General features: G+C 37.9%; 1 protein-coding gene across 16 annotated transcripts in view, besides 2 other annotated features; it reads left to right on the top strand.

Moving 5' to 3' along the window:
• The window catches only part of NSMCE2 (NSE2 SUMO ligase component of SMC5/6 complex), a 275,261-nt gene that overhangs the window by 46,676 nt on the left and 207,097 nt on the right, over positions 1-21,488 (top strand). For 14 of the 16 annotated variants that reach the window (XM_017013331.2, XM_047421702.1, XM_011516974.3 and 11 more), the window contains one exon: positions 12,636-12,742. In XM_017013331.2, coding sequence (XP_016868820.1) covers positions 12,636-12,742 — 107 coding nt within the window. Of the gene's footprint in view, positions 1-12,635; positions 12,743-17,464; positions 17,564-21,488 lie in introns of all 16 variants that reach the window. The other 2 variants (NR_146191.2, NR_146192.2) reach the window with 1 other exon arrangement.
• Positions 13,183-13,232: an enhancer, noted in NCBI's record as "active region_27900". NCBI's record gives its function as "activates an Ori minimal core promoter by ATAC-STARR-seq in GM12878 lymphoblastoid cells {active_cell/tissue: GM12878}" and the evidence as "EXISTENCE:reporter gene assay evidence [ECO:0000049][PMID:35858748]".
• Positions 13,283-13,502: an enhancer, noted in NCBI's record as "active region_27901". NCBI's record gives its function as "activates an Ori minimal core promoter by ATAC-STARR-seq in GM12878 lymphoblastoid cells {active_cell/tissue: GM12878}" and the evidence as "EXISTENCE:reporter gene assay evidence [ECO:0000049][PMID:35858748]".

Here is a 21,488-nt window from a genome sequence, read left to right on the forward strand (position 1 = left end):
TTGTTTTTTTAATTGACAAGACCAGTGTGTGATCAGGTAGTACAAATGTAATAGTAGTATTATCATAGTCTTCGTTGTTTAACTTATGGCTGTAATTATTGCTTTTTATTCTGAAGTTCATCTTTAAAGTGACAAATGAAGCATGTTTAAGTAAGGCAGGTCAACTCGGTCAAAGGAATTTGATGATTGTTATTTATCCTGGGAAGCAAAGATTCGCAGGGTAGGAGATATTTAGTGGCTACCTTCAGATCTTTGAAGCACTGGAATCTGGAAGAGACTTGAGACTTTCTGTTTGACCCAGGAGGTAGCTTTTCTGTAGCTCTGGAGTAGAGGACCAGAATTTACAGCCTGCTTCTGATATTGAGGTGGAAGTAGTTAACCTCTCTGAGCCTCAATTTCCTCAACCATATGAAGCAGAAAGTAAAATTACTCTATGCAGAAGTTATGTGGTGTAAATAAGTTAATGTGTGTGAATGAGCAATTTGGATTTATTGTTGTCATTGCCTGGCAGTGTTCTAGGGAGGCGCTGAATCAGCTCTGTCTTTGGAAGGACTCTAATAAATGGAACTGTTCAGCGGTGGAACAAGCTTTGCCATCACACTAAGAGCCAAACAAATTCCAGATAGTTATATCAGGGCTTTTTAGGAAATTTTACATGGAGTAGAAGTTTGTAAAAGCTCTTTGAGAGAAGATACAGTGTTTGCCTTATTCACCACTGTGTCCAGGGTACCCTGTACAGTGCTAGGCACATGGTCTGCTCAGTAAATATTTGTTGAATGAGTGAATGGAAGTTCCTCCACTAACACTCATATTCTAATCTTTGTTTAGCATCACTCTTTTTTTGTTTTTAATATAGTATGTGTTGTCTTCTGTATTAGTCTGTTCTCACACTGCTAATAAAGACATACCGGAGACTGGTAATTTATAAAGGAAAGAGGTTTAATTGACTCACAGTTCCACATGGCTGGGGAGGCCTCACAATCATGGCAGAAGGCAAAGGAGTAGCAGAGTCATGTCTTGCATGGTGTCAGGTAAGAGAACCTGTGCAGGGCAACTCTCCTTTATAAAATCATCAGATCTCATGAGATTTATTCACTATCACAAGAACAGCACAGGAAAGACCTGCCCCCAGGATTCAATTACCTCCCACTGGGTCTTTCACATGATACATGGGAATTGTGGGAGCTAAAATTCAAGATGAGATTTGGGTGAGGACACAGCCAAACTATATCATCTTCCCACATATATTTGTTTGCCCTTATGTTGTCATTTTATAGTGGAAATTTTGTCATTAAACTGAACCAGACATTCACTTTTCCTTCTGTTCACCTACACTTACTGAAAAGTAGAGCACAGAGATACAATTTTCATCGTGAAACTTCCTGGGAGTAGTTTCTCCTCAGGTGTAGATGTTTTTAATTTATTTCTGCTGTTTCTATAAGTATTTGAATTTCTGTAGTCCTTTTTAAAAGGGATGCCTTACACATGGAATATTTGCATGGGATTACTGTCCCAAGAACCTCACAGCAATGGTTGCCTCTAAGGAGAGCATTTGGGAATTGGAGATACCACATGATTGTACTGTTAGAATTTTTCAACCGTATGCTTGATTACTTTTTTAGTCATATGCTTTATTAATTTTAAAAACATTTTTTAAGTAGTTGGGGAAACCCCATGATTCAGTAGATACTAGCTTAAGTGAAGAAGAAGATTTGTATTGGGAATATTGCAAAGTACAGTTAATACAGCAAAATACCCCCATTTGTTAAGAGTCTCCTGTGTTGGAGGCCTTATGTTGAGTGCTTTACCTACATTCTCATTTAATTTTTTCAATAATCATATAAAGGCCAGGCACAGTGGCTCACGCCTGTAATCCCAGCACTTTGGGAGGCCAAGGCGGGAGAATTACTTGAGGTCAGGAGTTTGAGACCAGCCTGGCCAACATGGTGAAACCCCATCTCTACTGAAAATACAAAAATTAGCTGGGCGTGGTAGTGGGTGCCTGTAATCCCAGCTACTCAGGAGGCTGAGGTTCAATCGCATGAAGAGGTTGCAGTGAGCCGAGATCATGCCACTGCACTCCAGCCTGGGTGATGGAGTGAGACTCCATCTCAAAAAAAAAAACATATGAGATTTAAGCCTCACTTTCTTTTGTCTTGGCTGCCACAAATTCATGCAAGAGCTTTGGTATTTGGTCAAAGCCAGACTCTGTTTCTTAAGCCTCTTGGGTTTCCAAGTCATGCAACTGTAGGTAAGACTTGAGCACAGCCAAAGACTTGAAGACCAGAGAGAAGTGGCAGTTGTTGAAAATATGTTGCCTGGGAAATGCTCTTGTGGCCTTAAATTCACAGTTTCTTTTCAGTCTACCAGAGATTAGATAGAATTGGACAAGAAAGATGTGGAAAAAAGATAAGTCAAATGAAAGACACCTGGCCGTGAAGATTTGGAGGCTTTAGGTAGCCAAAGGGGGTCTGCGGATATGCTTTAAAATGACAGATTCCCATAGCCTGAGTTTCCATAGTGTTTTTGATGGCTGGCAAAGATTGATTTCTATGATTTTTATTAATTGAATTCATATACTTTATTTCAAACAGTATTTTGAATTATACCACTATCACAGTCATTTATAGATATTAACATACATTCTAAGGATATATCTGTCTATATAATCAAAGATGTCGTGGTCTCCATCACTCTGAGGTAGAGCAATTTATTTAAGTCAATCAGTCTCTCTTTCATTTTCTCTCCTAAAAGAAGGTAATGTTTAGGAGAATTCCTTTAGTACAGAACAGATTATTCATTACTCCCTGACTTTTGCATGAAGGGTATATTATTGATTTCTGTGTAATAGTCCAGACACTGGCATGTGCCTTCCATGCTGACTTTGTCAGTCTTGAGGTCAGTCATAACTCCATCATTTATTAACTATGTCATCTGGGGCAAATGATTTAGTGTCTGTGAGCATCTGTTTCCTTATCTCTACAATATGTTTAATAACACTGAATTCATGTTGTTGTAACAAAGAACTGGATAAGGTAATAGGTGCAGGGTGCCTGGCACAGACTCAGTGCTCCGTGAAGATTTGTTCTGTTTTAAAAATCTATGTCCTTCTCCTCTCTTCATTCCCAAGTGTTTTTGTTTGACCATTTTAACTCTAATGTAGTCTCTGTGGAGAGGAGTGAGGCATTTGTTTAGCCTCTACCCCAGTCCGGTGAACATCTGATGAACACTTACTCATCCTTCAAGACACAGTTCAAGTTTGCCCTCACCAGCTAAACCTGTTCTTTCTATAGGCAGTGTTAGCTGCCCGTTCTTCTTGCTTTGAAACATTTTTCCCCTCTGCCTAACATGTGGTGAGTGCTCAATAAGCATTTGCCGGGCAAATGAGTTTCTGAACTTGGGGGAGGGGTATGGTGTTTACAGTGCTTCTTATGGAGCATTATTGCAGTCTTGTGAGTTCAGTTTCACGCTTTAGAAGTTAGTAAAAAACAACCTAGAGAGCTAAGAGAGCTAGGAAGATGATTTTCACTTGCTACCTTTTGGTTCCAAAGGCAAAGTGCTTTCAGTATTTAGACTAATTACACTTGCAGAATAGTTATCTATTCTGTAATAATGATAATGACAAATATTTTGTTAGTGCTTACTGTGAGCCAGGCCCTGTGCAGATCATTTTACCTACATTATCTCATTTAGTCCTCATATCAGCTTTCTGAAGTAGTTACTGTTATTGTACCCATTATATATAAAAGGAAATTGAGACTCTAGTAAAATGACTTACCAAAAACTACATAGCTAGCATGTAATTTCATAAAGCCTAGATTTGAATGAAGTCTAATTCCAGAGCTAGCTTTTTTGATTACTGTATTACATCGTCTCTCTTCTGTGTCACGATGATGAGGGAATTGTGTTGGCGGGTAAACTAAACATGACTATAAAGGTGACTACTTCTTGAGGATTTCTCCCATATTCACTGTGTTTGTAAAGAACCCCTGACACTTACTAGCTTGTATCATGTACTGCTGACACTCTTCACTATGATTTCTAGTGGGCGGCAGTTATAAAATGTGTATTCAGTTTTTTTTTTTTGAGATGGAGTTTTGCCCTTGTTGCCCATGCTGGAGGACAGTGGTGCTATCTTGGCTCACCACAACCTCCACCTCCCAGGTTCAAGAGATTCTCCTGCCCCAGGCTCCCGAGTAGCTGGAATTACAGGCATGCACCACCATGCCTGGCTAATTTTGTATTTTTAGTAGAGACGGTTTCTCCATGTTGGTCAGGCTGGTCTCGAACTCCTGACCTCAGGTGATCCACCCGCCTCAGCCTCCCAAAGTGCTGGGATTACAGGCATGGGCCACCACACCCAGCCATGTATTCAGTTTTAATTTTGCCACACTAATATCTATGTGGAGGAATAATTACAAGTTCAAAGTGCAGTGTAGGGAGAAGTAACCAAGTTTCTATTAAATATTGCTCAAGGAGTGAGTAAGTCATTAAATTCAACTCCTGATAAATATGTGATTACTTAACATTAGGCTCCCAGGACACCCCCAGTGTGGGTGCACGCACACACACACACACACACACACAGAGGTAGGTGCATGTATAGATGTGTGTTGCTAGAGATAGTTGGAGCTATAGTTTCAGAGAAGAAGGGTTTTTTTTGTTTTGTGTGTTGCATTTTGGTGGGTGGGGTCAGAGGTATGCTTGATACTGTGATTTGTTTTATTTTATCCAAAAAGAATAGATGTCTTCTTTACAAAATATAGAAAAATCAAGTTTTAATTTGAAGAGATTAGGAAATACCCATATTCTGTTTCAGAAAGTAAAATCTCCCAATATACGTCCCATTTATTCTAAGAAATTTAAAATACAATCAGGCAATCCCTTGCCGCCTTTTCTTCCTTCCTCCTTGCCAAAATGGACATATGTACTTTATGACATTTAATATTTATCAGAGTCTTCTGAGTATATGAGTCATGTTGAATTGGAGTCAGCAACCCCTTAAGAACACTAAATGTCTACTTTGTCTTAGCCTGGTATTTTACTAATAAAATGCGTGGAGTTGAATTTAATCCACTATATATAATTGGTGGTGTTCCTGTTCAGACATGCCTGTACATGGCTTTGTAGAATAAAAAACATCTGATTCTGCGATTTTTATTTGTTTAGGACCAAATTTCAGGAAACAGCTTGGCCGTGGGCAAAACTATACAGTTGAATCAGAGACATAAAGTTGGAAGGAATAAGTAGGTGAAATTTGTCTTGAGGGTGTGCCTCCCTAACACACACATACACACACAGACACACATCCACGTGTCCCAGTTGTAAAGGTAAAGAAGTTTTGTAGACCCATAAGGTATGAAGTGTTTGGTTCTTTTCTGGAGATTAGGGAGGATTCTGGAAAAGGACCTTGTGGCTGAGATCATAGGAAACAGAGAGCAAAGCAAAATGATATCTGGTAGTGTAATGAAGTAGTATAGAGATAAATGTGTGTGGACGTGATAGGGAAAAGAGGGGGGGAAAGTCCTTATTTTCATGTCTGATTCATTAAAGGCAGTTCTACTGAAGACCTGGGGTTGTTGAGGGATCTTATTTGGCTCTGGGTACCATGTACTACCGGACCTGTTTCATCTCTGCTTCCCAAGCCTCAGGCCTGGGCCTCAGGGATTCTCTCCAGTGCATGCCTTAGGCTACAGCTATAGGGCAGCTGTGGTTAGGGAAGGTCCCTATTTAGAATAGTTGGTCAAAAAGCACATCACTTCTGTCCCTTTCTTGCAGAACTGGTTGCTGCTCTGGAATGAAAGTTTGATTGGTCTGTTAGCCATGCCCACCTGGATTTGGGAAAGCCAATAGAAAGAATCTTCTGCTCTCCTATCTGCTGTTGCTTTTTAACCTGTAGCCTAGAAAATGGCATTATACTGAACAAATACGGTATGAACAGACCTTAGACAATGCTGGAACTGGCGCCGGATAAGCTCATGAGTCCATGCTGTGCTACATAAGGACCGTATTGCTACAGGCTTACTGCCTACATCTCTTAGTCACAAAGGACCTGGAATTGGTCTTGCTTGAGAGTCTACATCTATAAAAATAGCTAGTTTGTTCCCTCCCTTCCTTTCCTTTCTTAGACGATCCTTTCTCCTTCATTTTGCCCCTAGCCTTTCACATTTGAGACAACCAGCCTTGCTTTCATTCTTTCATACTTGTTTGTGCCTCATTCATCATCTTCTATTCATTGAAGTCTCATGAATTTTAAGTTGAATTTGATTATAACACAAAATCACCCATTTCTGTTTAATGTTCTGTTGATCATATAACTTTAATGCCTATTCAATACCTCAAAAAGAGAGAATAGTAATGTAGTTATAATATTGCTGTTAGTGGGTTTTGACACTGAGTAACAGATGACATGTCTAATGAATAGTGTGACTGCTTAGATTGCATAATTATAGGTTTGTTTGACTTTAGGAAAATCATACGCAGGCCAACTTCACCCATTTAGAGACTTTTTGTATTATGTAAATATTAGAGCACTTCACTCTAAAAAGAAACCCCCTCCTTCAGTGATAATCATTCTTTGTTTTTCCAGGGTTTGCCACTCAGTAGGAAAAAGCAAAATGAAATAGAAACCATCTTTAAAGGATGGATTTAATTCAGTAGCCCTTCCTGGTTTGAATAACACTTCAGTCCACAATGGTTTGGCATTGTGCTTGTGACTGGGGTCATTGGGTACAGACATGCAGGTTTATAGGATGACAGCCCTGGCACTGGCATACTTACAGAAACAGCTAGAATTTTATAATGTAAATCAGGGATTATCTGTGCCCTTTGGACTTGATTTTGTGGGGTGGCAGTGCGGGGGGGATAGCTAGTTATTGTACTAACTTCTTGCAACAGTTTCTTAATTGACGTATCAGGTGACAGGTCTCACAGAGTCACCAAGGCCCCACTGTGATACTTCTCCATGTATTTATTGGCTTGTAAATGAATGTTCAAATATATCACTTAGGTTCATTTGATTAACGAAAGCAAGGGCTGGCTGTAATAAATAAACGCTCACAGAATGGCTTAGTGAAGGAATTTGAATATTCCTAGCCTCCCAGACTTCGCTTGGCAGGGCTGGGGGTCGGGGGAGTCAAATGTGTGGCTAATAAAAGTGACTTTTGACTTTGAGCTCTATTCAGAAGTAATTCTGCAACATGAAGCCTTCCAGTATTCTCCCTTCACCTTGAACATTTCTCTCCTGCTGCTCTTCATTTGCTGCCTGGTAGTCAGTCTGGAGCTGCTTTCATCTCTGTTGCTGCCGGTGCTCTTGGCCTAGTACAAGCTTGACCTCTTAGCAGCTGGAGTTGACTTAGTTATTCTCCTAGCATTCTCTGAGTGACTTGGTTGCTCTTACAGCACTTCAGATTAGCTTTGCTGATGTGAAAGGTCACTTTTCACCAATATTAAAACTTATTAATCTTCAAAAAGGGGAAAAATAATTTTCTTTTTGTTATCAGATTTCTTAAGGAATTTGGAAAGAGCTTTCCAGAACCATGTCTGATAGCCTCTGAGTGGCATTGTCTAGTGTCCTCCTTGGAAGTGTTGTTTTATGCTAACAGATTGCCAACGGAGCTGAGCTGAGGCTCTGGGTCTTTGACTTTCTCCTACCTGAAGGTTTGTTCCCTGGATATTCATGGAGGAGTCGGAGGTGCTTGTCCTCCTTGTGTTTAAATACCTTTTTGCACAGGTGGGCAAGTGTACAGACTTGGCAGTTAGAAAGCCAGAGTGGGAGGCCTGGCGCTGCTGCTAACTACCTTTGTGGCCTTGAGCAAGTTACTTCAGTTTTCTCATATGTAAAATGGAAATAGAACTACCTAACTCTTTATAGCAGCATGATTTATAATCCTTTGGGTATAACATGCACACATATGTTTATTGCGGCACTATTCACAGTAGCAAAGACTTGGAACCAACCCAAATGTCCAACAATGATAGACTGGATTAAGAAAATGTGGCACATATACACCATGGAATACTATGCAGCCATAAAAAATGATGAGTTCATGTCCTTTGTAGGGACATGGATGAAGCTGGAAACCATCATTCTCAGCAAACTATCGCAAGGACAGAAAACCAAACACCGCATGTTCTCACTCATAGGTGGGAATTGAACAATGAGAACACATGGTCACAGGAAGGGGAACGTCACACACTGGGGCCTGTTGTGAGGTGGGGAGAGTGGGGAAGGATAGCCTTAGGAGATATACCTAATGTTAAATGACGAGTTAATGGGTGCAGCACACCAACATGGCACATGTATACATATGTAACAGACCTGCATGTTGTGCACATGTACCCTAAAACTTAAAGTATAAAAAAAACAAAACAAAAAAAAACAAACTACCTAACTCTTATGTTGCCCTGAGATTTGATGTAAGTTTGATGTGCTGGCACATAACAGTGTTCCCTAATTGTTAGCTACAGCTATTATATATACATATATAATCATTGTCATTACTTTCCATGTTTTATCATCTGCACTGAACTTCCCTAATGCCAGACTTGCAGAAGTGTTGTACAGCAATGCTTTTCTCTCTGGAGTCATCATTCTGTGAATTTGAACATCGTTGTGTGATTTCTACCCACCACTCCAGTGCTGGTGCCATCTCTTTTCCTATAGAAAAGTCACACTGAAAATATAAAATAGGCAAGTGAAGTTATATCATATGTCCTCTTTTATGTTCTAATTCAGTTGAATCTCTTTGATAGGACAATTTATATTTTAGTGAAAGTTTAATTTTCAGATTTATGAAATATAATGGCCTTAGAAGAATATTGAAGGAAGAGTTGCTATAATTCTTTGTTGGATCCTAAGAACACTAAGGCATCATTCTTGTCCTCAAATGGATTAAAATCTCTTTGGTGAAAGGAAACAAATGCAGATAAGAAAGGAAAGATTGGTGGTGGTCCCAAGATATCAAGAGTGTATGTGTTAAGGCAAATTAGGTGAAGAAGGAAATCCTTCTAGGCTGGTATAATTTAAAAGCAGGTAGGGCCTGAGCTCAGCCCTTGATGGATATGTAGGATTTAATTTGGTATATATTCTCAAAAAGGGCTTTCAGTGAAAGAGTGGGAGAATTTTGATGGTGGGAAGATATACTGTGGAATCAAGTAGCAGGGAGCCTCTGCCTGATCAGTACCTCCACAACCACCCCAACCCCCAGCAACTTTTTAGTCAGTAACTCTGTGTTTCTGTGTTTATCCCTTTTTCCCCCTCCAAAGTCAAGAGGTTTTTACTGCAGTCGGGAAATAAAGGTTAACAAGAAGAACAAAAAAGAATTACGAAAATCCTCTTAAAATTGCTGTGGCAGGTTGCTACTTGACATGGACGTTCTCATGACCTGTCTTTAAGATGCTCTTGTGGGAGTCCCTTCTAGTTCTCATCGTAGGTCTCTGGTCTCTCAGCCCCCTGCTACAGCTGACCAAGACCCTCTGACTACAGTTATCTGACGGCACTGCTTCCAGGTGTGCTGTGATCCTCAGTTCTTTTTAGAATTTCCTTCCTGATCTCTTCTGGTGTTTCCTGTTCCCTTTGTTGCTTGGGCTGCACCAGTCTTTCCTAGTGTTCTTCAGCAGCTTGTCCCAACATTCTTGGGCCCTGGAGCCTGAACTGAGGCTGCCTGTAAGCCAGTTAGGCTCCAGAGATTCTTTCCTTAAGCTTCATGCCATCAAAACTGACCCAAGCCTTGCCCATTTCCTCCTTTGCAGGAAGGTCTCTTTGGCCTTGAACCAGCTTACTATCTGGCTCAGGTCTTAGTAGCATATATGGGACCCTGTTAATGAGAACTTATCATCTCATTTATTTCGTTTTGCAGCTCTTTTGTAGCATTTTGAATATCTTAGGCACATTCTGAATGCTTTCAGAAATTAACTCATTTAATCCCAGAGGGAGATTGCTAACATTATATCTATTTCCACTGATTTAAGCCCCTTACAGACTTTCATTTCTTATGCTTCAGACTTTTGCTCCCAACAGATACTTTAGTGAGTGCCTGTTTGGTTTTGGGGTACCCCTAATCAGCAGAATTTTGGAAAAGCAGTTTATACTGTTAGTCTTTGTTCAGGTTACCAGCCTTACCCACTTTTTTGACCAGTTCCAGTATCAGAATCTAATACTCATAAAATATACTGATCCATTAAGGAAAACAAAACAAAACAATACTTTCCTTTAACTAGGTAAGGCTGGTGTGAAACCAATAGTCTATTTTTCATTATTTTAAATGGAAAAAAATAAATTACAGGTTAACTAAAACCCCTAATCAATTTACTGAAATGTAACTAAGTACAGTAAAATGCCTAAATAAATTACAAAACATCCATTACATTAGGATGTAAGTTGTTTAAAATTCACTTCTTTATCATGAAACAATATGATTTTTAACAAATGGTTGCTGTATATATAGCAACATATATATGTTGGTACCAAGCCATATGTCCATTTTGTTGACTTTCAGAAATTTTCACAACAACAAACTGTGACTCTAATAGTCTAACAATTTTACCTGGAGTATGACCTGAGCCTTTTCTCACGCACCATTTTGTTAAACATATATTTAATTTGGGGAATGTAAATACAAATTTTTCTTATGTAAACATTACACCCTCCCCTGACCCCCTAACTTACATTGAGATATTTGTGTATTCTTTGCTGCCTGGATAGTAAAAGCTGAAGGGTCTTCTACCAGAAGCATGTTAACCCAGGAGATAGTCTATGAAATATACTTATAAGTAACTATTATAAAATTAAAGCATATGTTTTAAAAGCCAAATGTGAATGGACTTTACATTATTTCATTACTTTGGAATCATCTGTGGTATTATTCTTCAGAGTAGAAAAGAAAAACTGACATTTGTCTGCACTAAGATATATGAATGGAGAGTCTTTGAGTAGGTTCATTCCCAAATGTGATGAAAGAAAGCTTTATTTTCTTTTCATTTAGTTATCTTAAATTCAAAGTTTTTAGTTGAAATTTTTATGTTCCTGTGTTAACTATCTTTTCCTAATCTATTAAATTATGTTAGAGCTTGAAGAAACAGTTTAAAAGCACTTGTAACAACATTACCTTGCTTTTCTAATTTGCTAGTCCCTTTTTATAGACTCCTGTTCCCTGAGGATATTTTAATTTTTTAAACATAGTAAACATAGTTGTTTCTTATTCTGACTAATATAAATAGTTACAATAACTGAAATATTTGTGGATCTGTTTCTGCTGATTGTTATTCTTAGTGGCTTGTTTTCTTGTGTATTATAGGTATGTAAGGTTTTTTTGTTTGTTTTTATATTTATTTTTGTTTCAGCCTTTTCTCCTGTGATCTGCTCATTCTTAAAAAGTATTTGTAGGGATTATTTGACACTTAGATTAAGAGTGCCTTCTCCAGAAAGTAGTTATATTTGCTTCTGCCAGACACCTGTGAGTACTATCTGCCTGAGACCACCTCCCACCAAGATCAGAGACTAGGGTCTCTGGATCACTCAGGTTAGGGGAACCCAGGCTGCTGCAAATCCAGGAGGACTGCCTTATGGCCAGTTTTTCTGAAAACAAGTTTGTTTTCTCTTCCCTTTTCCCTGTTCTGCTTCATGGCCAAGGCTAACCTCCCTTCGGTCCCAGGCAGCAGGGAGAGATTACTTTTGGTTCATCTTTATACAAAGAGTTGGGATCTCAGCTTACTGTGGGATAGTATGTAACTTTGGCATTCTGTTGCCCCACTTCTCGTTTTTGTTTTATTCTAGATTTTGCCCTGGTTATTTCTTATTACCTTGTGACTCTTGTTTTTAAGATTTATTTTTTTTCTACTGTATCTGATATCTTTGGTTTTCTTTTTTCTTTTTTTCTTTTCTTTCTTTCTTTTTTTTTTTTTTTTTTTTTTTTTGAGATGGAGTCTCACTCTGTTGCCCAGGCTGGAGTGCAATAGCATGATCTCAGCTCACTGCAACCTTCATGTCCTGGGTTCAAGCAATTTCCAGCTAATTTCTGTATTTTAATAGAGACTAGGTTTCACCATGTTGGCCAGGCTGGTCTTGAACTCCTGACCTCAAGTGATCTGCCTGCCTCGGCCTCCCAAAGTACTAGGATTACAGACGTTAGTCACCACGCCCGGCTGCTATCTTTGATTGTTTTCATTAGGAAGATTGGTCCAAATAATCTAGCTCTGTGTTATTAAAAGTGAGAATCTTCCCTATTTGACCTTTAACAATCCTTCACAGTTTATGCAACAGATATAAGACAGAGCTGCTTAATGGATGAGGGAACTGAGGCTGGGAGAGGTGTAGTGATTGATTTAAGATCATGTAAGTAAGGGCACAGCCTGGAACTCCTTAATACAAGTCTTTTCTTCTTTCCAACCTACCACTGCCTTTGAGCTGTCTTCTACTGAGTGTATTCTTAGAATTTTGAATGAAGCATCATATGGTGAGGAGGTTTTTTTTATTTTTTTTATTTTTTATTTTTTTGAGGAGGTTTTTTTAAAAAGATGTAATAGCTCTACAAAATTATTTAGACCATTGACTGATGTAGATTGTATTGATGCAACTTTTTCCAGATATGGCATTTTAAATGGAAAATAATAATTGCAATTTTTTTTTCTTTCAGCTGAAGTGAGTAGTGAATATAGTATGGACAAGGCAATGGTTGAATTTGCTACATTGGATCGGCAACTAAACCATTATGTAAAGGCTGTTCAATCTACAATAAATCATGTAAGTTTATACCACTCCCTGGTTATATATTTGGTTACAACTCACTGACCGAGAAGTAGAAACACAAAATCAAAATTCTTCTCTAATCTTTAATGTTTCCTTATCCTTAATGTAGCAGCTATTAAATTCCTCTAAATTTGGAAGTCTCATAAAATTGGAATCCTAAGTATTTTCCTGGCTAGGCCACTTAGGTTGATTAACATATTAAATCTATTTTAGATTGCTTGCAATTTTTTGTCTCAAAATTTTAGTGTAAGCCTCCTTTGAATGTGAGGAGATTTTTATAAAATCCTAAAAATTGCATGCACCTTGTTTTTATTGTTCTATTTGCTTAAACATACAATTGAGACCAGGTTTAGTTACTCATTCTCTAACTTTAATATGCATCTATTGCCAAATTCTTAGAATCAGATAATATGGAAGAGTTTTAAGCAAGTTTAAAAATAAAGAAGATCGGTATTTTGGTTTTTCCAGAAGCCAAACTTATCTTTGTTGACTCCAGCTGTCACAGGAACAACACATAAGGCAGTTAAGGTGGGAACATAGCAACATCCTTTTCAGTAGTACTGTGTTGAGTAAGAAATGAGCAATACGATTGCAGTCATGTTTCTGAGAAGTCTTTTGTCCTCTGAGCAGTGGAAACTCCCTGTTGAACTGATTTTGTATACCTGTGTAATAGGATGTCTTGTATTTCTGGTTTCGTTATTTGCCTTTTCTTACTTACAGCTATGGGAAAATTCCAAAAATCAAATATTTTACAAGATCAGTGATTACTCAGTAGAAGATACATTTTTAAATCATGTTTAATACCTAAGCCAATGAAATGAGCATTATATAGTTAGAGTAAGCTTTTTTTAATGGTTAGTATTTAACTATAGTATTTGACTAACTTTAAGAATATCACCTATATCCAAATAATAAACTCATTCAGCTTGTAAAATTTTGACGTTTCTGGCTATTGTGACTGTTAGTCCTGGTCTTATGAATATTTCTTCCATAGGAAAATATGACAGTGCCGTTATGTTGACATCATATTTGAAACTGGATGGCACTTAGACTAGAGGCTTTCAATTTCAGCCGAACCCTAGAACCAGCCAGTTTCTGAACTCTCAGAGATTCTGATTTCATTAGTCTGGAGCAGGACTGGGACACTAGTATTTTTTAGAAACTCATTCTAATGTGCATTCAAGGGTGAAAACCACTGACTTAAAAGAACAAGGCTGACTTTATAGAAGAAAGTCAAGTGTTTACTGCCAAAGATTAGAGTTAGGCTTGTTACATGGATCAATCTTGCTTTGACCCTTACATTATGTGGCACTTACTTGATAAGCCTTTCTATCTTTAACTTTCATACTGTGCAAATGCAATAGCACAGTGTATATTACAGATAAGAAAACAAGATTTTGGAGTCAAAGAACGTTATGTTGATTTTTTTTCCCTATTAAACTCTAGGATTTGCAGATACTTAAGGTATTTTTACATCAAGAATTGAACTCTTGGCTGGGCGCGGTAGCTCACGCCTGTAATCTCAGCACTTTGGGAGGCCGAGGCAGGCGGATCACCTGAGGTCAGGAGTTTGAGACCAGCCTGGCCAACATAGTGAAACCCTGTCTCTACTAAAATACAAAAATTAGCCAGGTGTAGTGGCATGCACCTGTAATCCCAGATACTCAGGAGGCTGAGGCAGGAGAACCGCTTGGACCCAGGAGGTGGAGGTTGCAGTGAGCTGAGATCACGCCAGTGCACTCCAGCCTGGGCGACAGAGCGAGACTCCGTCTCAAAAAAAAAAAAAAAAAAAAAAAAAGAATTGAACTTTTCCCCCTTCAGGACATTGAGTCACTCATTTAAAAAAAAGTTTAAAACTTCTCACTCTTTCTCACATTCAGTAGTTAACAACATTTCTTTCATCTTGAGGTTTCATCTCATTATCCTCGAACAGGGAAGATAGATTTTATCTCACTTTTCAGCCCTAACCTCACACTAGAATAGACTGGAACAACTTGGATTTAGTGATTCCGATGCTTATCAGGAAGGTCTCTGTTCTTTTATAGGAAGAAAAAACATAGTTATTTTTCTTTTATGATACAAAGGTATGCTTTCTATGCAAGCTGGATACCAGACCAAGAATAATAAATCACAATTTCATAAGGTTTCTAAGACTTGATATTATATGGGGATATGACCATTTTGAGGGAAATGTTTTACATCACTTTATGTACTTGAAGCTAAGGATACTGCTATCTTATTGCTTGTTTTAGTGAGCGATAAGAATGAACAGCAGCTTGGGAGGGGCCGGGATAATATACTTGTTTAGAAATAGCAATGGTCTAGGGATCTGAAGCTTTTCCAGCCCTGGTTCTTCTACTTTCTAAGTTATGATCCCTGGTCAAGAAACCTAACCTCTTGAAAACTCATGTTTTTTGTCTGTGAAATTCCTGCCCTGTGTATTTCACAGAATGATTATGTGAATCAGATTAGATAATGTATATCAAAATGCTTTGGCATTCATCAAATTTGATGGGGCTGTAAGATAATATATTATTGCAAACTCAGATTTCCAAACAGAACCCCTTAGAGAGATGGAACAAAATCTTCTAAAAAGCAAGTATTTTGTTTTGCTCACTTTATTTCAGGGTATTTTTTTGGCTTTGACCTGTCCTATTCTGGAATTCAAGAGTCATATAGGATTAAGTATAGGCTACTTAAATTATTGCACAAGGTGTTCATGGCCTCTGAAATGAATGAGTTGTTTAAAATAAGATTATTTTTTTAAAAGGCAATTAATGGGAAGCCATACAAGTCCCATTTAACCCACTGCTCTGTCATAGACTTTTGCAAATTGCGATACTTCCGTTACTATAATATTTGCCTAGATTCAAATCTACCCTGTGGTCTTTCTGTTTATGAATTTTCACATAGTCATAGAAAGTTGATTTAAAAACTTTTTTAATCATTAAAGAGCATTTGAATTTATTATTTAAATAGACATCTCTCTTCCACTCTCATCTTCTCAGAATTCTAAAGATTATGCTCCTTTTGAAAAGTTTTGGAAGTTTTCTTTGGAACCTCAGAGGTATGGGTCAACTTACCAACAATCCCTGGGAAGTCCCTTTGGCAATTAGCAGAAGTTCTCAGGTTACCTTCCGTTGTCTCTCAAGAAAACAGGGCTACTATACTCCACAGTGCCCAAAGATTTTGTTTGGAATTGGCATCTATTTTAGTGCTCTGAAAGTTAAAAAAAAAAAAAAAAAAGGACTCATTCCAGCTAATTTGTTGAGAGAATATTATGCAGTGAACACTAAAAAAATTCTCAGATAGTCTCTAAGTCATTTATAAAAACTTTCAGGTTAAATGGGTTTTATACCTGTCACAACTCTTTAAAAACTGCATTTAGATCCTCAGAGAGTTCTATATGAACTTTTTTGATATTTTCAGTCATAAGACCAACATGTCATAAAAGTGTTTTTAGAGCTATAAGACAGTACACAGATACACACTTTTTTTTAATCACTATTACTGCCACGGAAAAACTGTTTTCTCAGTTTCATATTGAGAACAGAATGATGTTCTGAACACTAGACTTCTGATGACCTGATGTTTCCTCCCTTGCTTTCTACGCTTTTATTAAGTACATTGAAGAGACACTATTGGCTGGCTTTTTGTTTTTCAGTTTTCATAAATAAATGAATAAATTTATGAACATTTGAATAAATACTCAAATAAATCTTTGAATAAATATTTACTGAACAGCCATGTGCCAGGCACTTCTAGTTGCAAGAAATAGGAAGTCAATCAGCAAAGTCCATGTGACCTTCACCTCAGGATATGCGAAGTCCAGAACAGAAGACAAATATTTTACAAATGTTATTTAATTACTGCTGTGGTGTGTGCTACAAATTAAAAATAAAGCATTCAGGGAGAGTTAATAACCCAGGGGCAATAATGTCTTCAGGGCAGGGAAGAATTTGGAGACTCCTTCTGGAGGAAATGATATTTAAGATTCAAGTCAAATGAGTCTCAACATGGGAAATATATATTCTGTGTAACTTTTGCATGAAATGGAAGCATCTTATTTCTGATTGTCTTGATGTCAGCTTCAGAGTGCCTTAATCAATCCAAAGACTTATTGTGAAAATTAGGCCAGAGAAGGCCTACCTTTATATATAGAAAGTTAATGTTTATAGAATAGTTGAGTAACCTAAGATTGGTCAGTGATTCATTTAGTAATAGATTTTTGAGTGCCTACTATGTGCCAGGAACTATGCTTAGTAATGCAAGTCATGGCAGTAGTTGATTTAAGAATTATTTTATTATCAATATCCTACTTCTTAAACAGGGGTTATCTCTCTTAAAATGAGACTTTTTATTGACTATTAAATAAACCCAGTGGTAGTACTGTGTGTTTCTGATTATATGTTTATGATTGTTTTAAACTAAACCTATAGTTCCAAACTGTGGGCTTCAAATTGCTCAGGGTAGGTTTGGAGAGTGAACACCAGTTTAGTTCAGGGAATCCTCACGTCCATTTTTAGGTATGTGCTTTTTCAGATAAGAGGTAACAAATCCAACCACTATCATGGGGGTAGTCCTTGCAATGTTTTTCTAACCTTAATTCTCACAGGGAAAATGATGGGAATGTAGCTAAATGAGAATGACCCAACAAGTTCAGAGATTACTGTCATATATATTTAGCAATTGATGATAAAATATATATCCTCTCAGCTAGGTGTGGTGGCGCACGCCTGTAGTTCCAGCTACTTGGGAGGCTGAAGTGGGAGGATCACTTGAGCCCAGGAGTTCAAGATCAGCCTGGACAACATAGTAAGACTCCATCTCTTTAAAAAAAAAAATGTTTTTGGTGACCAGTATAGTCTCAGAGTTTAGCAAAAGTAACTAAAGCTTGAGAGTCACATTATACTTCAGCTTTTATTGTTTTTATTATGATCCTTAGTTGTGTAGTTTTAAGACATTTTACCTCTTAAAAGAATTTTCAAAAAGATAAAAAAAAAAGAATTTTCAGAATTTACCTGTATATTGTTCTTTTGGTATGTGCTGCTTCTGGATGTTAATTTATTGAAAAATCCAAGTATGTCTTCACTTTCCTCTAATACCCTCTTTTATGCTCTTGCATCTTATAAATTGTATAAGATTTTAAAGCATTTATATTGGATTACAGCTACATATTTGTTTTTTTAAGTCAATATCTTATAACAATTCCTACTAGAAGCCTGGTGAGGGAGAATATTTTTCTTCTTAACTGGAGCAAGTAGGTGCTAGGTTGGTCCATTTGTATTGTTTTTTATAAATTCGTTCATGGATATGCCCTATGTAGTGTGGTTTTTCACTTGATATGCTAACCTGAACATTTTATATGCCTTTTAAAACTAATGTGTTGAGAGTTAGAAGAGAAGAAATGTACTTGATGTATGCTATTGAAACCAAAGCAATCTTAGATATAATAAAGGAACAATGTGGGTCAAAGGTATAGTTTATCTCAGCTCTCTCATTATGCAACTAGTTTTGACTGTTTTTGACATAGCACTTCCCTGTGCCTCCTTGCTGTTCACCCTTCATCACCTGGTAAGTTGTGCCTTTTTCTTACTGTGCAGTTACCTTAATATCCACTACTTTAACATGAAATTCTATAGGGTATCTTGCAGGTTGGAAGTTACCATTTTAGTTAAACCAAATTTGGGAAGAATTTCTCCCTTAGAAAGCTAATAATTTATTCTATGGTACCTGAGAGCAGTTCTAGGCCACAGGATGTAACCTATTATATATGACCACTTACTGACTGAATATAAGAATATACCCCACTCTATTAGGCATTGTGAATCATTGACAAAAGAAGAAGGAGGGGGAAATTCGTTCGGTGGCTATAAAATTTGAGGACAGGAGATTCCTGAGCATGAGATAAATTACTCTTGTCAGCAGAATAGCAAAAAGGCAGGAGGTGACAGGAGAGTGAAATTAGTGAAAAGCTCTTCGAGCCAGAGGGGAAAGTACTAGGAGACTCACCTCTTCTCTACTCGCTGCATATGGCATTCTACAGTGATAGACAACTCTTAACATGTTTCTTATCAAAAGTTTTCAAATGAGTTATATGTGAGCTTTTCATCTGTAGGAACATTGCTCAGGTGTGGAAATTAACCAGAGAAAGAAAGTTGACTTTAGGTATTCACTCTTCAGACACTTGGAATGTGTCTATTTCTGTGATTACTGGTAATTAACTTCTATTTCGGTGGTTTAGAACTCCCTGTACAGTTATTCTCAAATTAAGGTTGTGTTCGGTAACATTTTGCCTAATAAACAGAGACAGAGACAATTAGTTCTGAATATAGTATCCCACTAATTGAATTACCTCTATAAGAAATAATCTAGATATAAAATTTCTTAGGTTTCGAAGTAACATAGCTGCTAATAGGTGAAGATATGTTATATTGAGACTGATTTTCACCGTTACCTCATAGAAATCCATCATAGTATTTTGGAGTTATTAAATGTTGGGTTTTAATCAGACTTATAAAACTGTTACTGGGCCTTAATGTGCCTCTAGTGCAGCATTTTCAAGAGTTTGCCCCATAATACTAATTAATCAGGATGTGAATAAGTATAATAGGAAAATAGGATTTTGTGGTCAAATAAGTTTGGGGAATGCTTGATTAAAAGAATTTCCTTAAAGACTCCAAAGCCTTTAATGTGCTTTTATGCAATGTGATTCTCCAAAGGAAGAGGATATTCAGAAATGTTGTAAACTTAGTTAACTAGAACATCTCTCTGGAGGAGGGACTGATATTCTTCAGAACCCACTTTGGGAAGTGCTGCTGTGGTTTCAACCCCCTAATTTTACGAAGGAGGCTGTGAGATAGGTCCAGCACTTTGTGGCAGAGTTTCTTGTGGCATCCAGAAAACTGGGAAGTATGTCGAACTCCCTTCCAAAATGAGCCTTAAAGATGTTTCCATGTTGAAGGTCAGGAAAGGGCCAGGCCCTTTCTCCATTGCATTACTCCAACAGTGAGGAAGGGACAGTTTTTAAAAACATGCGGTGAATGCTTAGTCTGTGTTTGAAGCAAAGAAGACCCCTCTGTGCAGTGATGATATGAGAAAAAGGAGAGAAGGAAATGTTTGAGAGGAAAAGAAGAGAGGGGCTTACAGAAGAGGCAGGAGACACACAGGAGCAGCAGAATGGGCAGGAAACGCATATGGACCTTTGAAGGGCCAGGCTGACCACAGCACTCCAGGTAGGTACTGAGGCGCCCAGTGTGATTATTAAACACCTTGGCCTCAGTGGCACCAGGCCATCCTAGCAGCTAATTCTTTGAATTACCCAAATGATATGAATGTTCCTTAACACAGCAAACTCCTGATTATTTCTGACATTGTAGATAGTCCACATACAGCATTAAACCTTTATTTTAGATGTCAATTTAACTTCCTTCCAACCTCACAATTTTCACGTAATTAATAAGTATTAAAAAGCTTGAGGTTTAGGCCTTTCCCCACTAATTGGCAGTGGTGCTGAATGGGCTAACTGCAGAAGAGAGATGGGGAAATAGACTGAACTGGGACTGGGGAATGGATCAGTAAATGTTAAAATTCAGTGTAAAATGAATGCATTTTTCAGCGTGGAGTTGAAAGCACAGTAGTCACTGGTTGTCTACAGTTTCACTTTCCACTGTTTCAGTTATCTGTGGCCATCTCTGGTCCAAAATTATTAAACAGGAAATTACAGAAATAAACAGTTCAAATAAATAAATAGCACCTCATTCTGAGTTGTGTGATGAAACCTTGTGCCTTGCTGCTCTGTCCTGTCTTCATCACAAGAGGAAGGGTGAGTACAGTACAATAAGACATTTTGAGAGCAAGAAAGATTATATTCACATAACTTATTACAGTATACTGTTATCATTATTCTATTTTTCTATCAGTTATTGTTAATCTCTTGCTGTGTGTAATTTATAAATTAAACGTTATTGTAGGTATGTATGTATAGGATAAAACATAGTCATACAGTCATGAACCACATAACAATATTTCAGTTAACGAGGGGCCATACATATGATGGTGGTGCCATAAGATTATAATATCATACTTTTACTGTACCTTTTCTGTGTTTACATATGTTTAGATACATAAATAGTTGTCATGTTACAGTTGCCTACAGTATTCAGTATAGTAACATGCTGTACAGGTTTGTAGCCTAGGAGTAATAGGCTTACTATAGAGCCCAGGAGTGTAGTAGGCTATTCCATCTAGGTTTGTGTAAGTACACTCCGTGATGTTCCACAGCATTGCCTCATTTCTCAGAAAGTATCCCCATCGTTAAGCAGTGCATGACTATACAGGGTTTGGTACTATCTGGGGTTTTAGGCATCTACTGGGGGTTTTGGAATGTATCTCCTGTGGATAAGGGTGGACTGCTGGAGTTGCTTATTAGTCTCAAATTGCTCAGTTGGTGGATCACTTGCGGTCAGGAGTTCGAGACCAGCCTGCCCAACATGGTAAAACCCCGTCTCTACTAAAAATACAAAAATCGGCTGGGTGTGGTGGCATATGCCCGTAGTCCCAGATACTTGGGAGGCTGAGGCAGGAGAATCGCTTGAACCCAGGAGGCAGAGGTTGCAGTGAGCCATGATGGCGCCACTGCACTCCAGTCTGGGTGACAGAGTGAGACTCTGTCTCAAAAAAAAAAAAAAATTGTTCAGTTGGTGCCAATAGTATGTTTAGTCCAATAAAGAAACAAAAG

This window comes from Homo sapiens, chromosome 8 (genome assembly GCF_000001405.40).
Source record: "Homo sapiens chromosome 8, GRCh38.p14 Primary Assembly".
Classification (NCBI taxonomy): Eukaryota; Metazoa; Chordata; class Mammalia; order Primates; family Hominidae; genus Homo; species Homo sapiens.